Source organism: Homo sapiens, chromosome 15 (genome assembly GCF_000001405.40).
Source record: "Homo sapiens chromosome 15, GRCh38.p14 Primary Assembly".
Taxonomy (NCBI): domain Eukaryota; kingdom Metazoa; phylum Chordata; class Mammalia; order Primates; family Hominidae; genus Homo; species Homo sapiens.
Genome location: NC_000015.10, coordinates 82,145,233 through 82,162,959, shown reverse-complemented (window position 1 = coordinate 82,162,959; position 17,727 = coordinate 82,145,233). Strand labels below are relative to the sequence as shown.

The 17,727-nt window shown below is 37.3% G+C and overlaps 1 protein-coding gene across 6 annotated transcripts in view; it reads left to right on the top strand.

Annotated features, from left to right (window-relative positions):
• The window catches only part of EFL1 (elongation factor like GTPase 1), a 132,502-nt gene that overhangs the window by 99,775 nt on the left and 15,000 nt on the right, over positions 1 to 17,727 (top strand). For 5 of the 6 annotated variants that reach the window (NM_001040610.3, NM_001322844.2, NM_024580.6 and 2 more), the window contains 2 exons: positions 5,100 to 5,247; positions 10,537 to 11,495. In NM_001040610.3, coding sequence (NP_001035700.1) covers positions 5,100 to 5,247; positions 10,537 to 11,495 — 1,107 coding nt within the window. Of the gene's footprint in view, positions 1 to 5,099; positions 5,248 to 10,536; positions 11,510 to 17,727 lie in introns of all 6 variants that reach the window. The other variant, NR_136410.2, reaches the window with a different exon arrangement.

The window sequence follows — 17,727 nt, the reverse complement described above, 5'->3', positions numbered from 1 at the left end:
GCTATTCCAGTGCTAGTGATTGTCAGTGAAGAATCTCCAGACCATGCCTTAGGGAAACCAAAGGACAAATGGTAAAATGGTAGTTTTCTGTTGAGGTGTACAATGGCCTCATTGCTCCTGAACATATGTATCCCTCCTCTCCCTGGAGCTAAGCCTTCTGAACTCATTGCTGTCTCAAGTTCTAAGACATACCCCTAGCCATTAAGGATCCCTGGATCCCCAGAGCAGATACTTGGAGGACTGGACCTCTGACCTTTGGGGCCAGCCCTAGTAAATAGCCATCTGCCTTCAGCCTCGAGATAGGAATTTTTTGTGGGCTGTCACTGTGGACTGACACAGTGCCTTGGTTGCTACACGGATTTATCCCATTCTGTGTAAAACATGCTTCCTCTTTTAGGCTTGTTCAGATCCTGGCCTTTCGTGATTTTGTTCTTTTATTCTACTCACTAGGCTGGCTCTAACCCCTGTCTACCGTGTTCAATCCTAAGAAATACATACAAGAAAGCTCAGTTTTATTTAAGTTGTGATATTTGAGTCTGGCAACCATAGCTTATTCGTAGATGTTTCTACTATTTATTTGTATCCTCTTTCTTACTTAGTTTATTGCATTTGCACATACATTTTAAAAATAGGAAAAAATAATTTAAGCCATAATTTTACTTGTTTATTTATTTGGTTTGAGACAAGATCTCACTGTCACCCAGGCCGGAGTGCAGTGGCTCAGTCACAATCACGATTCACTGCAGCCTTGACCTCCTGGGCTCACGAGATCCTCCTGCCTCAGCCTCCCAAGTAGCTGGGACCACAGACATATGTCACCATACCCAGCTAATTTTTTTCATTATTTGTAGATGGGTTCTCCCCATGTCACCCAGACTGGTCCTAAACTCCTGAGCTTAAGCAGTCCTCTCACCTCAGCCTCTTAGAGTGCTGGGATTACAGGTGTGAGCCACTGTGCCTGGCCTAAGATGTGATATTTTAATAATAGAAATTTATAATTTTTAAAAGGCTCTGTTATGGTTATGTGCTAGTCTGTGGTCTCTGTTATGGAAGCTAAGTAAAAGCCCAACCCTAAAGAACCAGCTTCTTTGAAGGACTGGCTACATGAGATGAAGGATTCTAGTACCTAGTGTATTTCCTGTACTATAGCTGATTCATAGTAAGATTAAGTTCCTTTCCTTTCCATAAATGAGATAGTCTAATAAATGGAATTATTCAGGATTATCAATTTGTAGGCCAAAGTGTACTTCCTCATGTGTTTACATTAAATTTATCTGAACTTTGTAAAAAGTAAACTAAAATGGTTAGAAGGGGCACATAATTTTCTTCATAATTTTAAAAGGAGTATTGCTATTTTCTTCCCTTTAAGTATATTGTTTTTACTGGATTTACCTTGCATTTATTGACTGTGTTACTGAAGCACCCCATTTGATTTTTCAGTGTCTGAATTTTGTACTCTTTGTTTTGCCTTCTTGGTGTTTTTACATTGTCCACATGTTATTTTACATTCAGAATGTCTGGGGAAACTTCCCTTCCTTGTTCCTATGAGCTTTCAGAGGATATTTATTTTCTGTTTACTCTTTGCCCTAGTAACTTATGCTCATCCTTATTTTGGGGCAGTGACCCCCTTATTCGTAGATTACATGTCTGACGACTATTGGGATATTTCACTCTCTTAAAAGACTTTGCAGTAATACTGCCTCTGAGAGGCACTGGACACATTCATTGTTTTTCTTGAATAGACCACGTATCCCCATGTCCTCTCTTTTTTTTTTATTGTGACAACTAGATTAATCCAGAAGACAACAGTTTGCTTCTTTTCTTTCAGGGAGAAGCAAATCGTGAGCATTTGTTCTTCCACTTTTCTTTCTCTAATTTCCCAAGTGGGGGTCAAAATCTCATGGCAGCCACCCTCTACTTCATGCCCACAGGTCAACTACAAACTCAACACAGAGAACTACAAATGTTCCAAAGCAATTATTATTTTCTTCATTATAATTGAACCTTGCTGTATGCCACACACTGTACTAAGGATTTTACATTGATTATCTCATTTAATCCTCCCAAAAGCCCTGTTTATTAGGATACTCTTTTTATTCTCATCTTCACATGAGGGAAACTGAAGCTTAGAGAAGTTAATTAATTTGCCCAAGGCCATACAGTTAGGAAGCAGTGAGGTCAGAATTCAGATCACTGCCTCAGAGACAATGCTGGATCTTCACTTGTGGGAATCCAAGAAATCCTGTTTATCTGAGCAGAGTAATTTGTTTCTAGAATTGTTTTATCCTTTATCCATATTAGTTAAAAAAAATTTTTGATACCTATGCTTATATAGATATATGAATTTTTGTGCTGTTTTATATACATTATGAAGCACAAAATAGAAGTTATTTAAAAATTAAGATGAAAATCAAATACCTAATTTTATTTGTATTTGATGAAGATACATACAGTATGTACATATAATTATAGATAATATTGATTTGTGATTGTGGCTTATAATTATTTTAGTTACCTAATACTATGTAACATATTGCTTCAAAATTTAGTGGCTTGAAACAACACTTATTTTTCATAGTTCCCTTGGTCTGGAATTTGGAAGCGTTCAGCATCGTGTCTCTCAAGTAGTGGTAGTCATACATCACCTTGGGCGGTAGCCATCTGAAGGTTTAACTGTACTTCCAAACATGGGCTCACAAGTTGGTGCTGGCTGGGGAATCTCAGTTCCTCTCTACATGACTGTTTGAGTGTCCTGCATGGTGATTGGCTGCAGCCAGCATTCCAAAACACTAAGGCAGAAGCTATAATGCCTTTTGTGAACTAGCCTTGGGAATCACACATCATCCTTTCCACAGTGTTCTGTTGGTCACACAGGCCAGCCATGACTCACTGTTGGAGAGAGCTGCACAGGAATGTGAATATCAGGAGGCAAGGATGATTGGAGCCATCTTGGAGGCTGGCTACCACAATAATGCTTCCTTCTTTTTGAAGGTCTTGCCTGAACACTTTGTGATATAGCCATTCCAAGGTCGGCTTCTAGGTTCCATTTGTTAAAACACTTGATTTTAATGACCATTATCACTGGAAAAGGCACCTCACAAAATTGCATAGTCCAAAGGGAAGAATGATTCGTTGGCTTCCTTTACTAAGTCACGTTATCCATTTTAGTATTCCATTTTCCCAATTATTAAAAGGTTTTGGTAAAATGTATATAGTGAACATCTAGTTTTCCTGATGGCAGTCCATTTTTCTTACACTAATTAGAAGGTTTGTTAATTCTTATATCTTTATTGAACTATCCATTTGGTGATTTTAAGAACAGGTTAAGAAAATCACCTTCCAAATTGTAAGAGGTTTTTATACATTATACATGAAGTATTTATGTTATCTTTGGCAACCAAATAGCTGTCAGCGGCAACATTTTCAAACACCTAATTTCAAAATGTTGTCTCCATGTTTCAAATTTCTTTTGAAAAAAAAAAAAAAACTTTTCTTATTGTTAAACTGTTACCTTTATTTTACCTTGAAGAGACAGATTTAAGTGTGTATATATTTTTTCAGAAATATTTGTTGGGATCTCATCTTGGTGATAACCATTGTTTTTACTTTATAATTTGTTTGATGGAGAGCTGACAAAAAGCTTTGCCATTTCTTTTTTTATTATTCCCATGTGCTTATGTTATTAGTATTATAGTATTATCAGTGATATCTTTGCAGGAATCCTTTTAAGCCAGGTTTAAAATTCTGTGAAGGCTTAGTTAACACTAGATAATATCTGAAAATCCACTTAATTAGACAAAAAAAAAATTACAGTATGCCAAAAAGGAACAAATGAAGGTGCCTCTGTCAACCCTGGACACAGTGAAATCCCACTTTCCGTCTTCCCTTGGGATTCTTTGCATTCCATATGTGGCTTTTGATCACCTGACCTACAAGTGTGCTGACATCCATCCGCAGAGCATGGGCTCTCTGGCTGGCTGCCCAGCTTCTAAACCAGGTTCTGCCACTTAGTTAGTCTGGGACCTTGAACACAAGTTTATTAGTTTCTCTATACCTGTTTCCTCATCTATAAAATGAGAACAATCATCATACCGCCTCATCGTTAATGAGCTCATATATGTAAAGTGCTTGTCTGGCACATTGTTAGTGCTATGAAATGTTAGTTATTATTAGAACTTTATTTCAAAAATAAATAGGTATAGAAGTTCTAATATTCCTGCTCCCAGTTAATCGACTTTTATAAGGCATGTTGAAAATCATTGCATTGCAGAAAGTTCCTGTGATTTTGTTTGTTTGACATGCTGAAAACCAAGCATTGAGGAATTGCTAAGTCTTTTCTTCAAATGTAGAATTGAAACAAGACTGCATAAAAACGTCTTTAAGACCAAGGTTTCTGCTAAGGCAGCTGCAAGAGACTTCCTTGGACCTGCCTTGAGGGAGCAGTAGCAGTTGAGTATGTGGAAAGGGGGTGAAAAAGCAGCTAAACCCAAGATGTAGGTCACAGTCCCTATCCCTACTCTCAACTCCCAGGAAAAAGCAATTATATATGAAAAATACATGCAGAACACAATGCAGAAGATGCCTTTAGCTCACCAGATAAAGTAGCTAGTTAGGGTATTCTAAAACCCAAGTTCTAGCAAGCAGTTTCACAAATAATTATTTTTAATATGAGGCTCTGGTACAGTTTCTTGAATATCACATTAAATGTTTCTTTTGCTTATTTGTTGATTTTATAGGCGATGTTTGAGGAAATGCTCTGTTTCATTTCTAGGTATATAATGTATACATTCGTTATAAGATTTAGGTGAATTCACAAGTAAAAAGATGGTAGCTTGTATCTGCAGAGTATTTGAAGAAGTAATATAGATCAGCTTTGGGAGTCTTGATGGTAAGCTTGCGGATGTGTCATGTTTGCTATCTGTACAAAAAAATTACTAGAAGGTAGTTTTCTTCACATCACTACACTATCTGGAAGAAAAATAAATTGTTGTTTTAAGAGTTTATTTCAATGTAATTTTCCCTTCAGTAGCCAGAGCCATTGTCTTTGAATTGTGTTAGTTCTTATATCATATTTAATCTATTTCGTTTTGTTAACCTAGGTGAAATGCCTCAGCTCGTAAAAGGAATGAAACTGTTAAACCAGGCTGATCCCTGTGTCCAGATTTTAATTCAGGAAACGGGAGAGCACGTTTTAGTCACAGCAGGAGAAGTCCACCTTCAGCGATGCCTGGATGACTTAAAAGAAAGGTTAGGTGAAAATGATAGCGATGGAGAAATGATAGCTCTCAATCAATGGGATGTTTTAGTGTTTCCTAAACCAGTTGAACTTAGACTGCGGCTTATTTTTGGAGAAAAATGAAATGCCCTCAATTCAGACATGAACAGTTATTCGATTGTAGACTTATTTTTTAATAACTGAAAAATGGCATTCACTGCCTACACTTGAATAATTTTGCATTTTTAGCTTAAGTCATAAAATGTTTTTCTGTGTATGTATTTTACTTTAAGCATGTACACAAAACACACAAAATACCAGGACAACAAAACAAGATATTATTTTGTAAATGTTGGCTATGTAATTAGGATAGACTTCTTCTCTTATTGATGTGGTCTTTACAATGTAAACCTTCTGGAAATCTTTATGTTTTTCTATAAAGATGATATGTATTATAAAATGGGCATCCCAAATTTTTATAACGGGCATTTTTCTTCTTTGTTCCAAAGATAATGTATGTTTATTGCAGAAATTAGGAAAATGCAGAAGAAGAAAAAGAATCATTCAGTTATCATGCAGAAATAACCACCATTACATTCAGATTCATAAATCTGCACTGTTCTATGCATATTCAAATATACACAAATATCTATATACACAGTTCTGATTATTTGGTTAAGATAAACTTCTGGAAGTATTATAGCTAGCTCAAAAAGTATGCATATTTTTAAGGATTATGATCCATATTTTCCTCAAGAAAGACTGTTCTAATTTACATTATAACTAGCAATAAATATTTGAACTTGCCTCTTCTCAAACTTTTGCCAACTTTGCATAGTTTATCATTTTCTAAAAATTTCACCAATCTTGAAGACAAATGAAAGATATTCATGGTTAATATACATTTCTGTGCTTACTAGTAGAAAAAATTATAAACTGCCCTGTAATGGCCTTCCTTCTTTTTGTTTTTAAAATTTCTGGGACTATAATCATAATCATAACAAAAATAATAATTATAAATGATTGATATAGTCATATATTAAATAACAGTCACTGTGTTAAGCACTATTTATCTCAATCTTTATACCACAGTAAAATCGGTGGTAGTAGTAACTATACAACAACACCTGGTACTAATAATAGAATAAGAATAACTGCTGCTGGCCAGGCACGGTGGCTCACGCCTCTAATCCCAGCACTTTGGGAGGCCAGGGCGGGCAGATCACGAGGTCAGGAGATCGAGACCATCCTGGCCAACATGGTGAAACTCCCTCTCTACTAAAAATACAAAAATTAGCTGGATGTGGTGGCGTGCACCTGTAATCCAGCTACTCAGGAGGCTGAGGCAGGAGAATTGCTTGACCCAGGAGGCAGAGACTGTGGTGAGCTGAGATCACACCACTGCACTGTAGCCTGGCAACAGAGCAAGACTCTGTCTCAAAAAAAATAGAATAACTGCTGCTGCATTTATGTGGGATTTTGTAGAAGCTTCTACCAGATTCCAGAAACTAGACCGCTACCTCATGATGTATTCAGAAATTTATTTCAGGTGAGTTGTTGGTTAAAATGTAAAAGGCAAAACCATGAAGTGTTTAGAAGATAGTATAAGAGAATATCTTCAAGACCTCAGGGTGGCAAAAAGCTTCTTAATAGCATGTTAAGAGCACTAATGACAAAGGAAAACCTTGATCATCAAAAGACACTATTAAGATAATAAGGAGGCTGACCGCAGGGTTAGAGAAGACCTTTATACCACTTGTAACAGACAACAGACTTATATCCCCAATATGGAAGGAATTCCTACAAATAAATGAGAAGAGCAGCAATCCAATAGAAAAACTGTACAAAGACTTGAAGAGGTACTTCATAAAAGAGGCTTCCAAAGGCCAATAAACATGAAAGACTATTCAACTTATTACTAATTGATGGAATGCAAATTAAAATCAAAGTGAGATACTTCTGCATACCCACTAGAGTGGTTAAATATTTTTAAGTGATATTATCAAGTGGTGGCAAAGATGTGGAACAACAAGAATTCACCCACACAACTAGTGGGGATATCAATTGGTACAACTATTTTGGAATATGATTTGGTATGATCTGCTAAGATGGGAGATAGGCACTTCCTGTGGCTTGGCAAATCTACTCCCATTTGTACCTGTATATACACAACACAAAGCTAGGCAAATGTGCATCAAGAATACGCATAGCAACAGTTTATTTATTTATTTATTTTTATTTTTTTGAGAAAAGGCACTCCCATTGCTCAGGCTGGAATGCAGTGGTCCACTCTCAGCTTACTACAACCTCCGCTTCCTGGGCTCAGGCAATTCTCCTGCCTCGGCCTCCTGAGTAGCTGGGACTACAGGTGCACGCCACCACGCCCAGCTAACTTTTATATTTTTAGTAGAGATGGTGTTTCACCATCTTGGCCAGGCTGTTCTCAAACTCTTGACCTCAAGTGATCCAACCTCCTCGGCCTCCCAAAGTGCTGGGATTACAGACGTGAGCCACCATACCTGGCCTCATGGCAACAAAATTTTAGTAGCCAAAAGTTGGAAACAACTCAAACATTTAAATGGATAAATAAATAAATAAATAATGGCGTATTCATACAATGGAATTCTATAGAATGATCTCAGTGAACAAAACTACAGCTATATAAAACATAGGTGAATCTCACAATATAATGTTGAACAGAAGAAGCCACTTCACTTCCCCCAAAAAGTGTTTGTTTGTATTTATATGAAGTTCAAAACATAGTGCACCAGGTTGGGTAACATAGCAAGACCTCATCTCTAAAAAAATAAAAATAAATTAATCGGGCAGGTGGTGCATGCCTGTAATACCAGATACTCAGGAAGCTGAGGCAAGAGGGTTGCTTGAGCCCAGGAGCTCGAGGCTGCAGTGAACTGTAATCACACCACTGCACTTCAGGCTGGGTGACAGAGCAAGACCCTGTTTTTAAAAAAGAACAAAAAGAAGTGCAGTCCAAACTGAACTGTGGAGTATAAGGGGTTACATGGTTAGGTGATTTAAAAAAAATGGAGGCTATTACAATAAAAATCAGGATAGCAGTTACCTTCATACTTAATGGCATTGGGGCCCTCTGAGGGCTAAGACTGTTCTGTTTCTTGACTATACCATGTAGTTTACATGGGTGTTCACTTTGAGGTAAGTTATCATAGATCAGTAGATTTTTGTTTTGTGCACTGTTCTATATGACTATTACATTTCACAATTATGCTTACATTAAGAATGTGTATAATGTTATAGAATTTGTTTAGTTCTCATAGGACAGAGCCTACCTTTTGGTAGTATATAATCTTTTTCAACTTCTACACACATCTTCAGGAATGGATTATGTCCAGGAATGGGAGACAAGGAGACTATATTGTCTCCAGGCCAGAGAAACTGTCAGAATTCTTAGCATCCAGATCTCAAGGTAGTAATAATCAGAGCAGGAAGCCACAGGAAATTGCCATGATGTAGCCTGAGCCTACCGCACTTTTTTTAGTGTCATCACAGGCTCTGCATTGCTAGGACTTAAAGAACCTTTGGTCCTGAGGTGCTTTGTGAGTGTGGCAACCATCACACACTTCCTTCCACAGCTTGGAGTGGTTTTAATTAATCATATAAATGATTACTACAGGAGACTTCTTGGGAGCCTCAGGAATTAGAAGGACTAAAGTGGCTCATAGCTCTTTTGACTATGTTACAGGAATAAGAGGGCAGTGTTGTAGATGTGTTCTCTCTCGTAGTTTCAGAAGCTTTGCCGTTGGTTTTCTTGAGTGTTCTAAGTATATGAGCATATTTTTCTCTATGTAATGATAATTTTAGAAATATTTTCCTATTCCTAAGATTTTTAAGTGGCTTTTTTCTTAAAATCAAGAATAGGTATTGAATCTTATTGAATGCCAATTTAGCATATTTAAAAGTGGCTACATAGATTATTTGATATTTTTAATGTGGTATTAACAGATCTAATACAAATTAATTTTCATATAACCTATAATACAAACTTCGTAGTGTTGTAGTAAATTATTCCTTTAATGTACTGAGTAACTTCATTTTTCAGTATAGCATAATGACTGAGAGTGTGAATTCTGAAGTCAGACCTAAATTTGAATCCTAGCTTCTTCACTTACAGACTATTTGGAGAAATTACTTAATCTTTCTTATCTGGTTTTCTCTTCTACAAAATTAGATAGTACTAGTGCCTACTAAAGAAATACTACATGTAAAACACTTAACACAGTGCCTCATACATAATAAGTTTTTTTTTAATGCACACACCTGCATATCCATAGTTTTTGTTATTTTATCTTAGATTTTATATCTGAATTCTTAGGTAAGATTGAACTGCAGTTTTGTGTATATATACTGTCTTTGTCAGGTTTGAATATCAAAGTAGTTTTAAAAACATACAATGTCGGGTCCATCTTGTTGTATATCCTGTGAATATACAAAAAGATTGTAAATATACAATATACAACAATATCAAATTTGATATTATGTGGGAAAAGGGGCTTTCTGAACTTGGTGGCAGACTGGGGCTCAAGACCTATGATGTCCAGAAGAGTAGCTTCTACCCACATGCAGCTGTTTAAAATCAAATACAATTAAAAATTTAGTTCCTCAGTCATACTAGCCGCATTTCAAATGCTTAGTAGCTATATGTGTCTATTTAAATTTAAATAAAATTAAAAATTTATTCAGCTGTACTAGCCACATTTCAAGGGCTCAGCAATCACAATAAACATATAGAACATTTCCACCATTGCAGAAAGTTCTTTTGGAAAGTGCTGCTCTAGACAAACTCATGGATCATGCTAGCCTTGCTATAAGCCTCATTATCAAAGCCAAATACATTGTGAAGATTTGACTAGCTATCCTGAGGTTCTGTGATTCTATGTCTATTTAGAGTTTTAATCATTGAGCTTTTCTTCTCCACACTCTTAGATGGGCAAATACTGTTTTAAAGCATTCATATTTCATATATTAAAACATTTATTTTCTGCTCAAAACATTCTTATCTAAATGGGTGGTTTATATATCTTGAAAATGAAAAAAAAAAAAGTGAAATTCCAGTACATGCAAGGATTTCCCTGGAGGTATATTCCCATTAGAAGTAGTCTTTTCAATCAGAAAGAAAGCAGTTTTTGAATGTTATATAATGTAAATTGCAGATCTTTCATAGTAAGATAATTTTTATGTTCCTATGTTTTTACAGAATCTCCACTGTGTAGTAATTTCTACACAGGAGCTTTGATGCTATTTTGATTTTAACCTTCTGTTATTTCTCTTGAATTTGTCTGTAGGTTTGCAAAGATTCATATCAGTGTATCTGAACCTATTATTCCATTCAGAGAAACAATCACAAAACCCCCAAAAGTTGACATGGTCAATGAAGAAATAGGCAAACAGCAAAAAGTTGCAGTCATACACCAAATGAAAGAAGATCAAAGCAAAATCCCTGAAGGAATCCAAGTTGACTCTGACGGGCTAATCACCATAACAACTCCCAATAAACTTGCCACGCTCAGTGTTCGAGCCATGCCCCTTCCAGAAGAAGTCACCCAGATTCTGGAAGAAAATAGTGATTTGATTCGTTCTATGGAGCAGTTGACATCCTCTTTGAATGAGGGTGAAAATACTCACATGATTCATCAGAAGACCCAAGAGAAAATTTGGGAATTCAAAGGAAAACTGGAGCAACACCTAACAGGGAGAAGATGGAGGAACATTGTTGACCAAATCTGGTCATTTGGCCCAAGAAAATGTGGGCCCAACATACTAGTCAATAAAAGTGAAGATTTTCAGAACTCAGTATGGACAGGTCCAGCTGACAAAGCTTCAAAAGAAGCCAGTAGATACCGAGATTTGGGCAATAGCATTGTGAGTGGCTTCCAACTAGCAACCCTCTCTGGCCCCATGTGTGAGGAGCCTCTCATGGGTGTCTGTTTTGTTCTGGAAAAATGGGACCTAAGTAAATTTGAGGAACAAGGAGCAAGTGATCTGGCAAAAGAGGGACAGGAGGAAAATGAAACCTGTTCTGGTGGAAATGAAAACCAAGAGCTACAAGATGGCTGCTCTGAGGCCTTTGAGAAGAGGACATCACAGAAAGGAGAATCTCCACTCACTGACTGCTATGGACCTTTCTCAGGACAGCTAATTGCCACCATGAAAGAAGCATGTCGCTATGCACTGCAAGTGAAACCTCAGCGCCTGATGGCAGCTATGTACACATGTGACATCATGGCCACTGGTGATGTTCTCGGTAAGGAAGAAAAGGTAAAGATAGTGAGAAATGCCCTGAATAACAGTGAAGTCTCCTAGACTCAAAATCTTGTTTTTGAGACAGGGTCTCATTCTGTCGCCCCAGCTGGAGTGCAGTGGCACAATCTCGGCTCACTGCAACCTCTGCCTACCAGGCTCAAGCAATCCTCTCACCTCAGCCTCTCAAGTAGTTGTGACTACAGGCACACACCACCATGTGCAGCTAAGTTTTTTTGTGTTTTTTGTAGAGACTGAGTTTCGCAACGTTGCCCAGGTTGGTCTCGAACTCCTGAGTTCAAGTGATCCACCCACTTTGGCCTCCCAAAGTTCTGGGATTACAGGCGTGAGCCACTGCACCTGGCAGACCCAAAAATCTTAAACTCGTTTAGTATGTTTTGCAGAAGCTGTACCATCTTCTGATTTACTAACAAACTAAGATCTTTGAAAGCCAGATATCTTAAGTATTAAAATCTTGAGAGGGGAAAAACATGACTACTAAAGATCTTTTCTTTTGCAACAAATAGAATCCTTTCCGTAATGAGAGGTCTGCTAAATGAGGTTTAAACTGCTCATATGTGTTACCATCCAAACCTGTGCCATATTTTATCTCAAGCAAATAACCATATCAGTCTGGGTAACCAAAGTTGTTCTGAAAATGATCAAAGAATAAGGCAACATTCTTGTACTCATAACACAAAAGGGCTTTTGTGAATTCTGGGTTCTTTCTGAGAAAGAAAATTATTTGGGGCTTTATTCACTGCTAACCATTATATCAAATCCTATTCCTGATTTTTCTCTCTTTGGGAGAAGCAACCTTTAAGATCCCAGGAGACATGAAGCCCTGGCACTTAGTAGCTCTTTGGACTTTTCACTGGTATTAGTTCACTGAGACTTAGTTTCTTTACATAGGTAAAGAAAGGGGATAATAATTCATACAGATTGTGAAGATTAAAATAACACAATTTTTTTAAATACAGTGCCCAGAACAGCACCTGGCACACAGTAGTTCTCTTATTCTCTCAAGATCATGGAACTGTTTCAGTAGTGAAGAGAATATAAAGGAGGATTGAGCCCTGGATGAGAGAATCGGCCAAATTATTAAGTTTCCTCTAACCCTGAGGCCCTTTGAGTCAATATGTGGTTAATTACATTCTTTTTAGGAAGGTTCTTTTGCTGATTAATTCCTGAAAGCAGAAATCTAAGTTTGTTTGTTTTTTTTCCCAAAAGAAATTTAGGCTTCCATCACATTAAGGTTTTTGTGAGACTGAGCGTCATTAGCAGCATTTGAAAAATAGCTGGGTTAAGGCCAGTATGCATTGTGAATCAAATCTCCAAATACAGCATGTCATATACAGTGCTTTTCAACCTTATTTGAATATAGCATGCCTATTAACAGCCATGGAATTTGTAGATTTGTTTGGGAAACACCAATCTAGACTATTCTCAGATGCTATTTTTCATTTTCATTGAGAACTTTCTTAAGGCGGAAGTAAGAGTTAAAATCAAATCTTAATCCCTCAAATCTTTGAAGAAGACCTAAGAGCTTTTCTCCAGCCTCTCCTACCCCGACAAATGCTTATACCACCACTATTTGAATACTTCTATTGATGGCCAGTGCACAGCCAGCTTCGTGATTTAATGGTGTTTTTTTCTATATTGAGCAAAATGTCTGTCACCTGCTAGTTTCCAATCATCTGTACCACCATTCATCTCTCTTCCATGCAACAACTCTTTTATGTATTTGAAATAAATCATTAGTTTTCTAGTTTTATATCCAGGAGAAAAACTCCAAATCCTTCACCTGTTTTTCTGTTAGGATTTCTGTATCCTTTCACCATTTCAGTTGCTGTCTTTTGGACATAATTTATTTGGTCAGCATCCCTCTTAAAGCAACTATATTTGAACACAGCACCTCACATACCCTCCAACCAGTAGAGAACATGTCTGTGTCTACACTGTTACCTCCTACATGAAATACAACATTCTTCTTTTAATGAAATTTAACAATTACGTCTTCTCATTAATTCATATGAGAAGTCAAGATCAACCCTATTTCTTTTTTTTCAAAACAAAGTTATGTTTTCCCACTCTGTTCCCCAAAAAGCAGAATCCAAATTTTTGGTAATTGACTAGACTGTAGAAATCATGTAGTTGTATGAACTCCTATATTTATTTGTGTATGAGTACTGAGTCTATACACTTAATTTTTTTCTTATGAGTACTGAGTCTATACACTTAATTTTTTTCTTAAGTTATATAACATAATTAGCATTACAACAGTAAACAGGAGAAAAATTTTAATGGCAAGAAAAAGAAGTCACATCACCACCATCTTAACACATTGATTTCTTATTCATTTTTTTCATGTGTCCTTGTCTGATGAGAAATAAAACTCAACAGGTAGAAAATCAAATGTTTCGATGAAGTTACGGTCCTTTACATCTATAACAGTCCCCCAATTATCAGCTTACCAATCATGTTAGAAAAAAAAAAAGCTTAGGTTAGTATTTTGTATTAGAAAGTCCATGTTGTCTCCCAAGATTTACCTCATACTTGTATAAACATGTACAAATGTCTATAGTGTTTCCTTAAAATTCTACAGAAAATTAGCATATGGCTTTCTAGTCTGCAATTTATGGAACGCAGTGTTTATATCCTCAAAAAGTTTAGTCATTATTTACCTTTTTCCTATAGTCTGGCACCTACCTTACTATTCATAATTTCTCAAAAGGGCAAATTCTCTTATTATGGTGAGATATAATTCTGGTCCTGGAGACTTGAACTCATTTAAGAAGGCCAAGCACTTAGTCATCAACTGCTGAGCTACCGTGAACTTCAGTGTTCTCCCACTTCAACTTGTTCCACTTGCTATAGTTTGTTCACCATTCTCCTCACTGAAGAGAAAGATAGGTAACATAGGTATTGCGAACCCCTATTTTCTTGCTATCCTCTGTAACATGATACTAGTTTCTATAAGTTGTAGACAAGACATGTCTCCTTATTTTGAAAGTATAGGTTGAGTATCCCAAATCTGAAAATCCAAAATCCCAAATCATCTAAAATTTGAAACTTTTTTTTTTTTTTTTTTGAGATGGATTCTCACTCTGTCACCTAGGCTGGAGTGCAATGGCATGGTCTCAGCTCACTGCAACCTCCACCTCCTGGGTTCAAGCAATTCTCCCACCTCAGCCTTCCGAATAGCTGGGACTACAGGCGCATGCCACCACACCTGGCTAATTTTTATATTTTTAGTAGAGACGGCATTTCACTATGTTGGCCAGGTTGGTCTCGAACCCCTGACCTCATGATCCATCCGCCTCAGCCTCCCAAAGTGCTGGGATTACAGGCGTAATCCCACCCTGCCCAGCCTTTATTTTTTAATTTGGGATGCTCAAACAGTATATAATACAAATATGCCAAAATCTAAAAAAATAAAAAATGTAAAACACTTCTGGTCCCACTCATTTTGGAGAAGAGATATTCAACCAGTATTGGAAAAAGCTCTTTGCACTGTCTTTAGCTCTTTTACTTTGGTACATACACTCAGCTTGTTTTGATTTTGAGCATCTTGGACATGCTACTGATCCACCTGAGTTGGTATCCTCTTCTTCCTTCTACTGTGCATGTCCTCTTAAAATAGGGGTTGAGGAGGGGCTTTCTTCCTTCTTCTGTCATTGAGATCATTCATGATTGATTTCTTTTAGACTCTCATTACTCTGCAAAGGAATTTTATTTTAGGGTCTGTTATCCTAGAACCTATGGTGTGTGTTAGTTGTATTTTTTTTCCTGTCCCTCTATGTGTTTGAAACGATATCTTTCCTTTTTTTTTTTTTTTTTTCACTATTGCCCCAGCTGGACTGCAGTGGCACAATCTCAGCTCACTGCAGCCTTCTTCTCCCAGGTTCAAACAATTCTCCTGACTCAGCCTCCCAAGTAGCTGGGATTACACACGTGCACCACCACGCCCAGCTAATTTTTTTTTTGTTGTTGTTATTTTTAGTAGAGATGGGGTTTTGCTATTTTAGCAAGGCTGCTCTCAAACTCCTGGCCTCAAGTGATCCGCCCGCCTCGGCCTCCCAAAATGCTGGGATTACAGGCGTGAGTCACCACATCTGGCCAAAATGATCCTTTCTGAAGTCCAGGGCCCGCATAGGTCTGTGCCTATCCGTGCTCTCAAGATAATGGGAACATGTATTTCCTCCCAAAATAATGGGAGCACCTGTTTTCTCCCCAGATTGCCATCTCTTCTACATTATTCATTTGGAGTGGCATTTGTCCTTTGTTTTCTGGGAAGATGAATTTTCAGCACAACACGTGAAGCCAGAATCAGCTGTTGGTGTTTATCAGACTGAATTCCTAGCATAGTGTTGAGTCACCCCTGTTGAGTCACCCCTCTGTGTTCATTTTCTCATTTCTATTAGAAAATCACCACCTGGACACGGCATGTGACCAGGCCACCCTAGGATAATACCTCAAAATATCATTTGTCATCCTATCCTTATATTTTTATCCTGGCACTCCCCACTTGGCCATCAGTCAGTTCTGCCACTTTCCAGGAAGAAATATATATTTTAACCCTCAGGGTTCTTTGTCACCTCTCTCTGGAGCAAAGGATCATTTTGACTTTCCTCACCCAGGTACAAATGTCACTGTATTGGGCCTCACTGCCTTCTATGAAGCCCCATTTATTTACCCTGCGTGCGGCAACTGTGTGTATGTGGGTTGGTATGCAGTCTCTACCATTGTCACTGGTCAACTTTCTTAATACTTTGCCCCTGAGACCAACCAACTACCACATCCACTGCCTTAAAAGAAGTTACATTTAGAGTCAGTCTGGCTTTTTTTTTTTTTTTTTCTCGAATTGATTTGAAGTCCTCTTGCTTAGACTGGAGAATGTCCTCTGAAGCCTGTTTTCTCTTTGCTTTTGAGGGACTCTTTTATATTGATAACCAATTTCTAGTGTCCAGGGTCTATCAATGCAGTCAGCTGTTCACTTGTGTTTTCCTTTTTCTTTCTAAATCAACACCTTCAATTGGAAAGAAATGAAAAGAACTTCTGTGTTCCTAAGGCCTTTTGCTTCCTGTCTGGATATTTAGAGATCTTCTGAGAAGACTTCAGACTTTGCTGACTGTTGTTTTGATTCTCCAAGAATCGGCACAAGTTGATTTCAGGTCTTTTTTATTTAGCAAAATGAATTTCCTTAGTCTTTTTTTAAAAGTTAGTTTTTTCTACATAGATTATTAAAACAAGAAATCCTATAAATGGATAGACTTGCATATGGTCAAAATGGGAAATTTTGTAGGAAAATAATCTCAAAATCATTTTATCTGGGGAAATAATTTCAGGAAAATGTCTTTCTATACTTTTAAAATCCACTTTTCTAAAGATGTGGTTTATTATCATTTTTTACTCATGAAATTTCCCTCTAATGAGCTTGATTATTGCTGAGGTTTTACCTGCTTGTCATTGAATTCTTTTTGTATTTTTTCCTTCTAATCTGTTAATCTTTTTTTTTTGCTCTTCATTTTTAAAAAATCTTTGGTAATAACCACATTTTAAAAATATTTCTTTTTGTTAGACAGTACTAGTTAAGAGTTTTTTGGGGTATTTTTTTTTTTTTTGGTTTTTTGAGATGGAGTTTCGCTCTCGTTGCCCAGGCTGGAGAGCAATGGCACGATCTTGGCTCACTGCAACCTCCGCTCCCCTGGGGTTCAAGCAATTCTCCTGGCTCAGCCTCCCAAGTAGCTGGGATTACAGGAACCCGCCACCACTCCCGGCTATTTTTTTGTATTTTTAGTAGAGATGGGGGTTTCACCTTGTTGGCCAGGCTGGTCTTGAACTCCTGACCTCAGGTAATCCACCCAGCTCGGCCTCCCAAAGTGCTGGGATTACAGGCATGAGCCACCGTGCCCAGCCTCGTTAAGAGTTTTAATTACAGCTGTGATTATTGTAGTTCTTCCTTTTATTTATTAAATTTTTATTTTAAAATAATTTTAATTTTTATAGGTATGTAGTAGGTATATTTATGGAGTATATGAGATAGTTTTAATCTTTTATTTTTACACATAGGAATAAATGCCAATATTGTTGGAACACATGTACTTTAACGTATCAGAAACATTCTTTATAAGTGTCCCTGTTTACTTTTTTTTTTTTTTTTTTGAGACAGAGTTTCGCTCTTGTTGCCCAGGCTGGAGTGCAACGGTGCAATCTCAGCTCACCACAACCTCCAC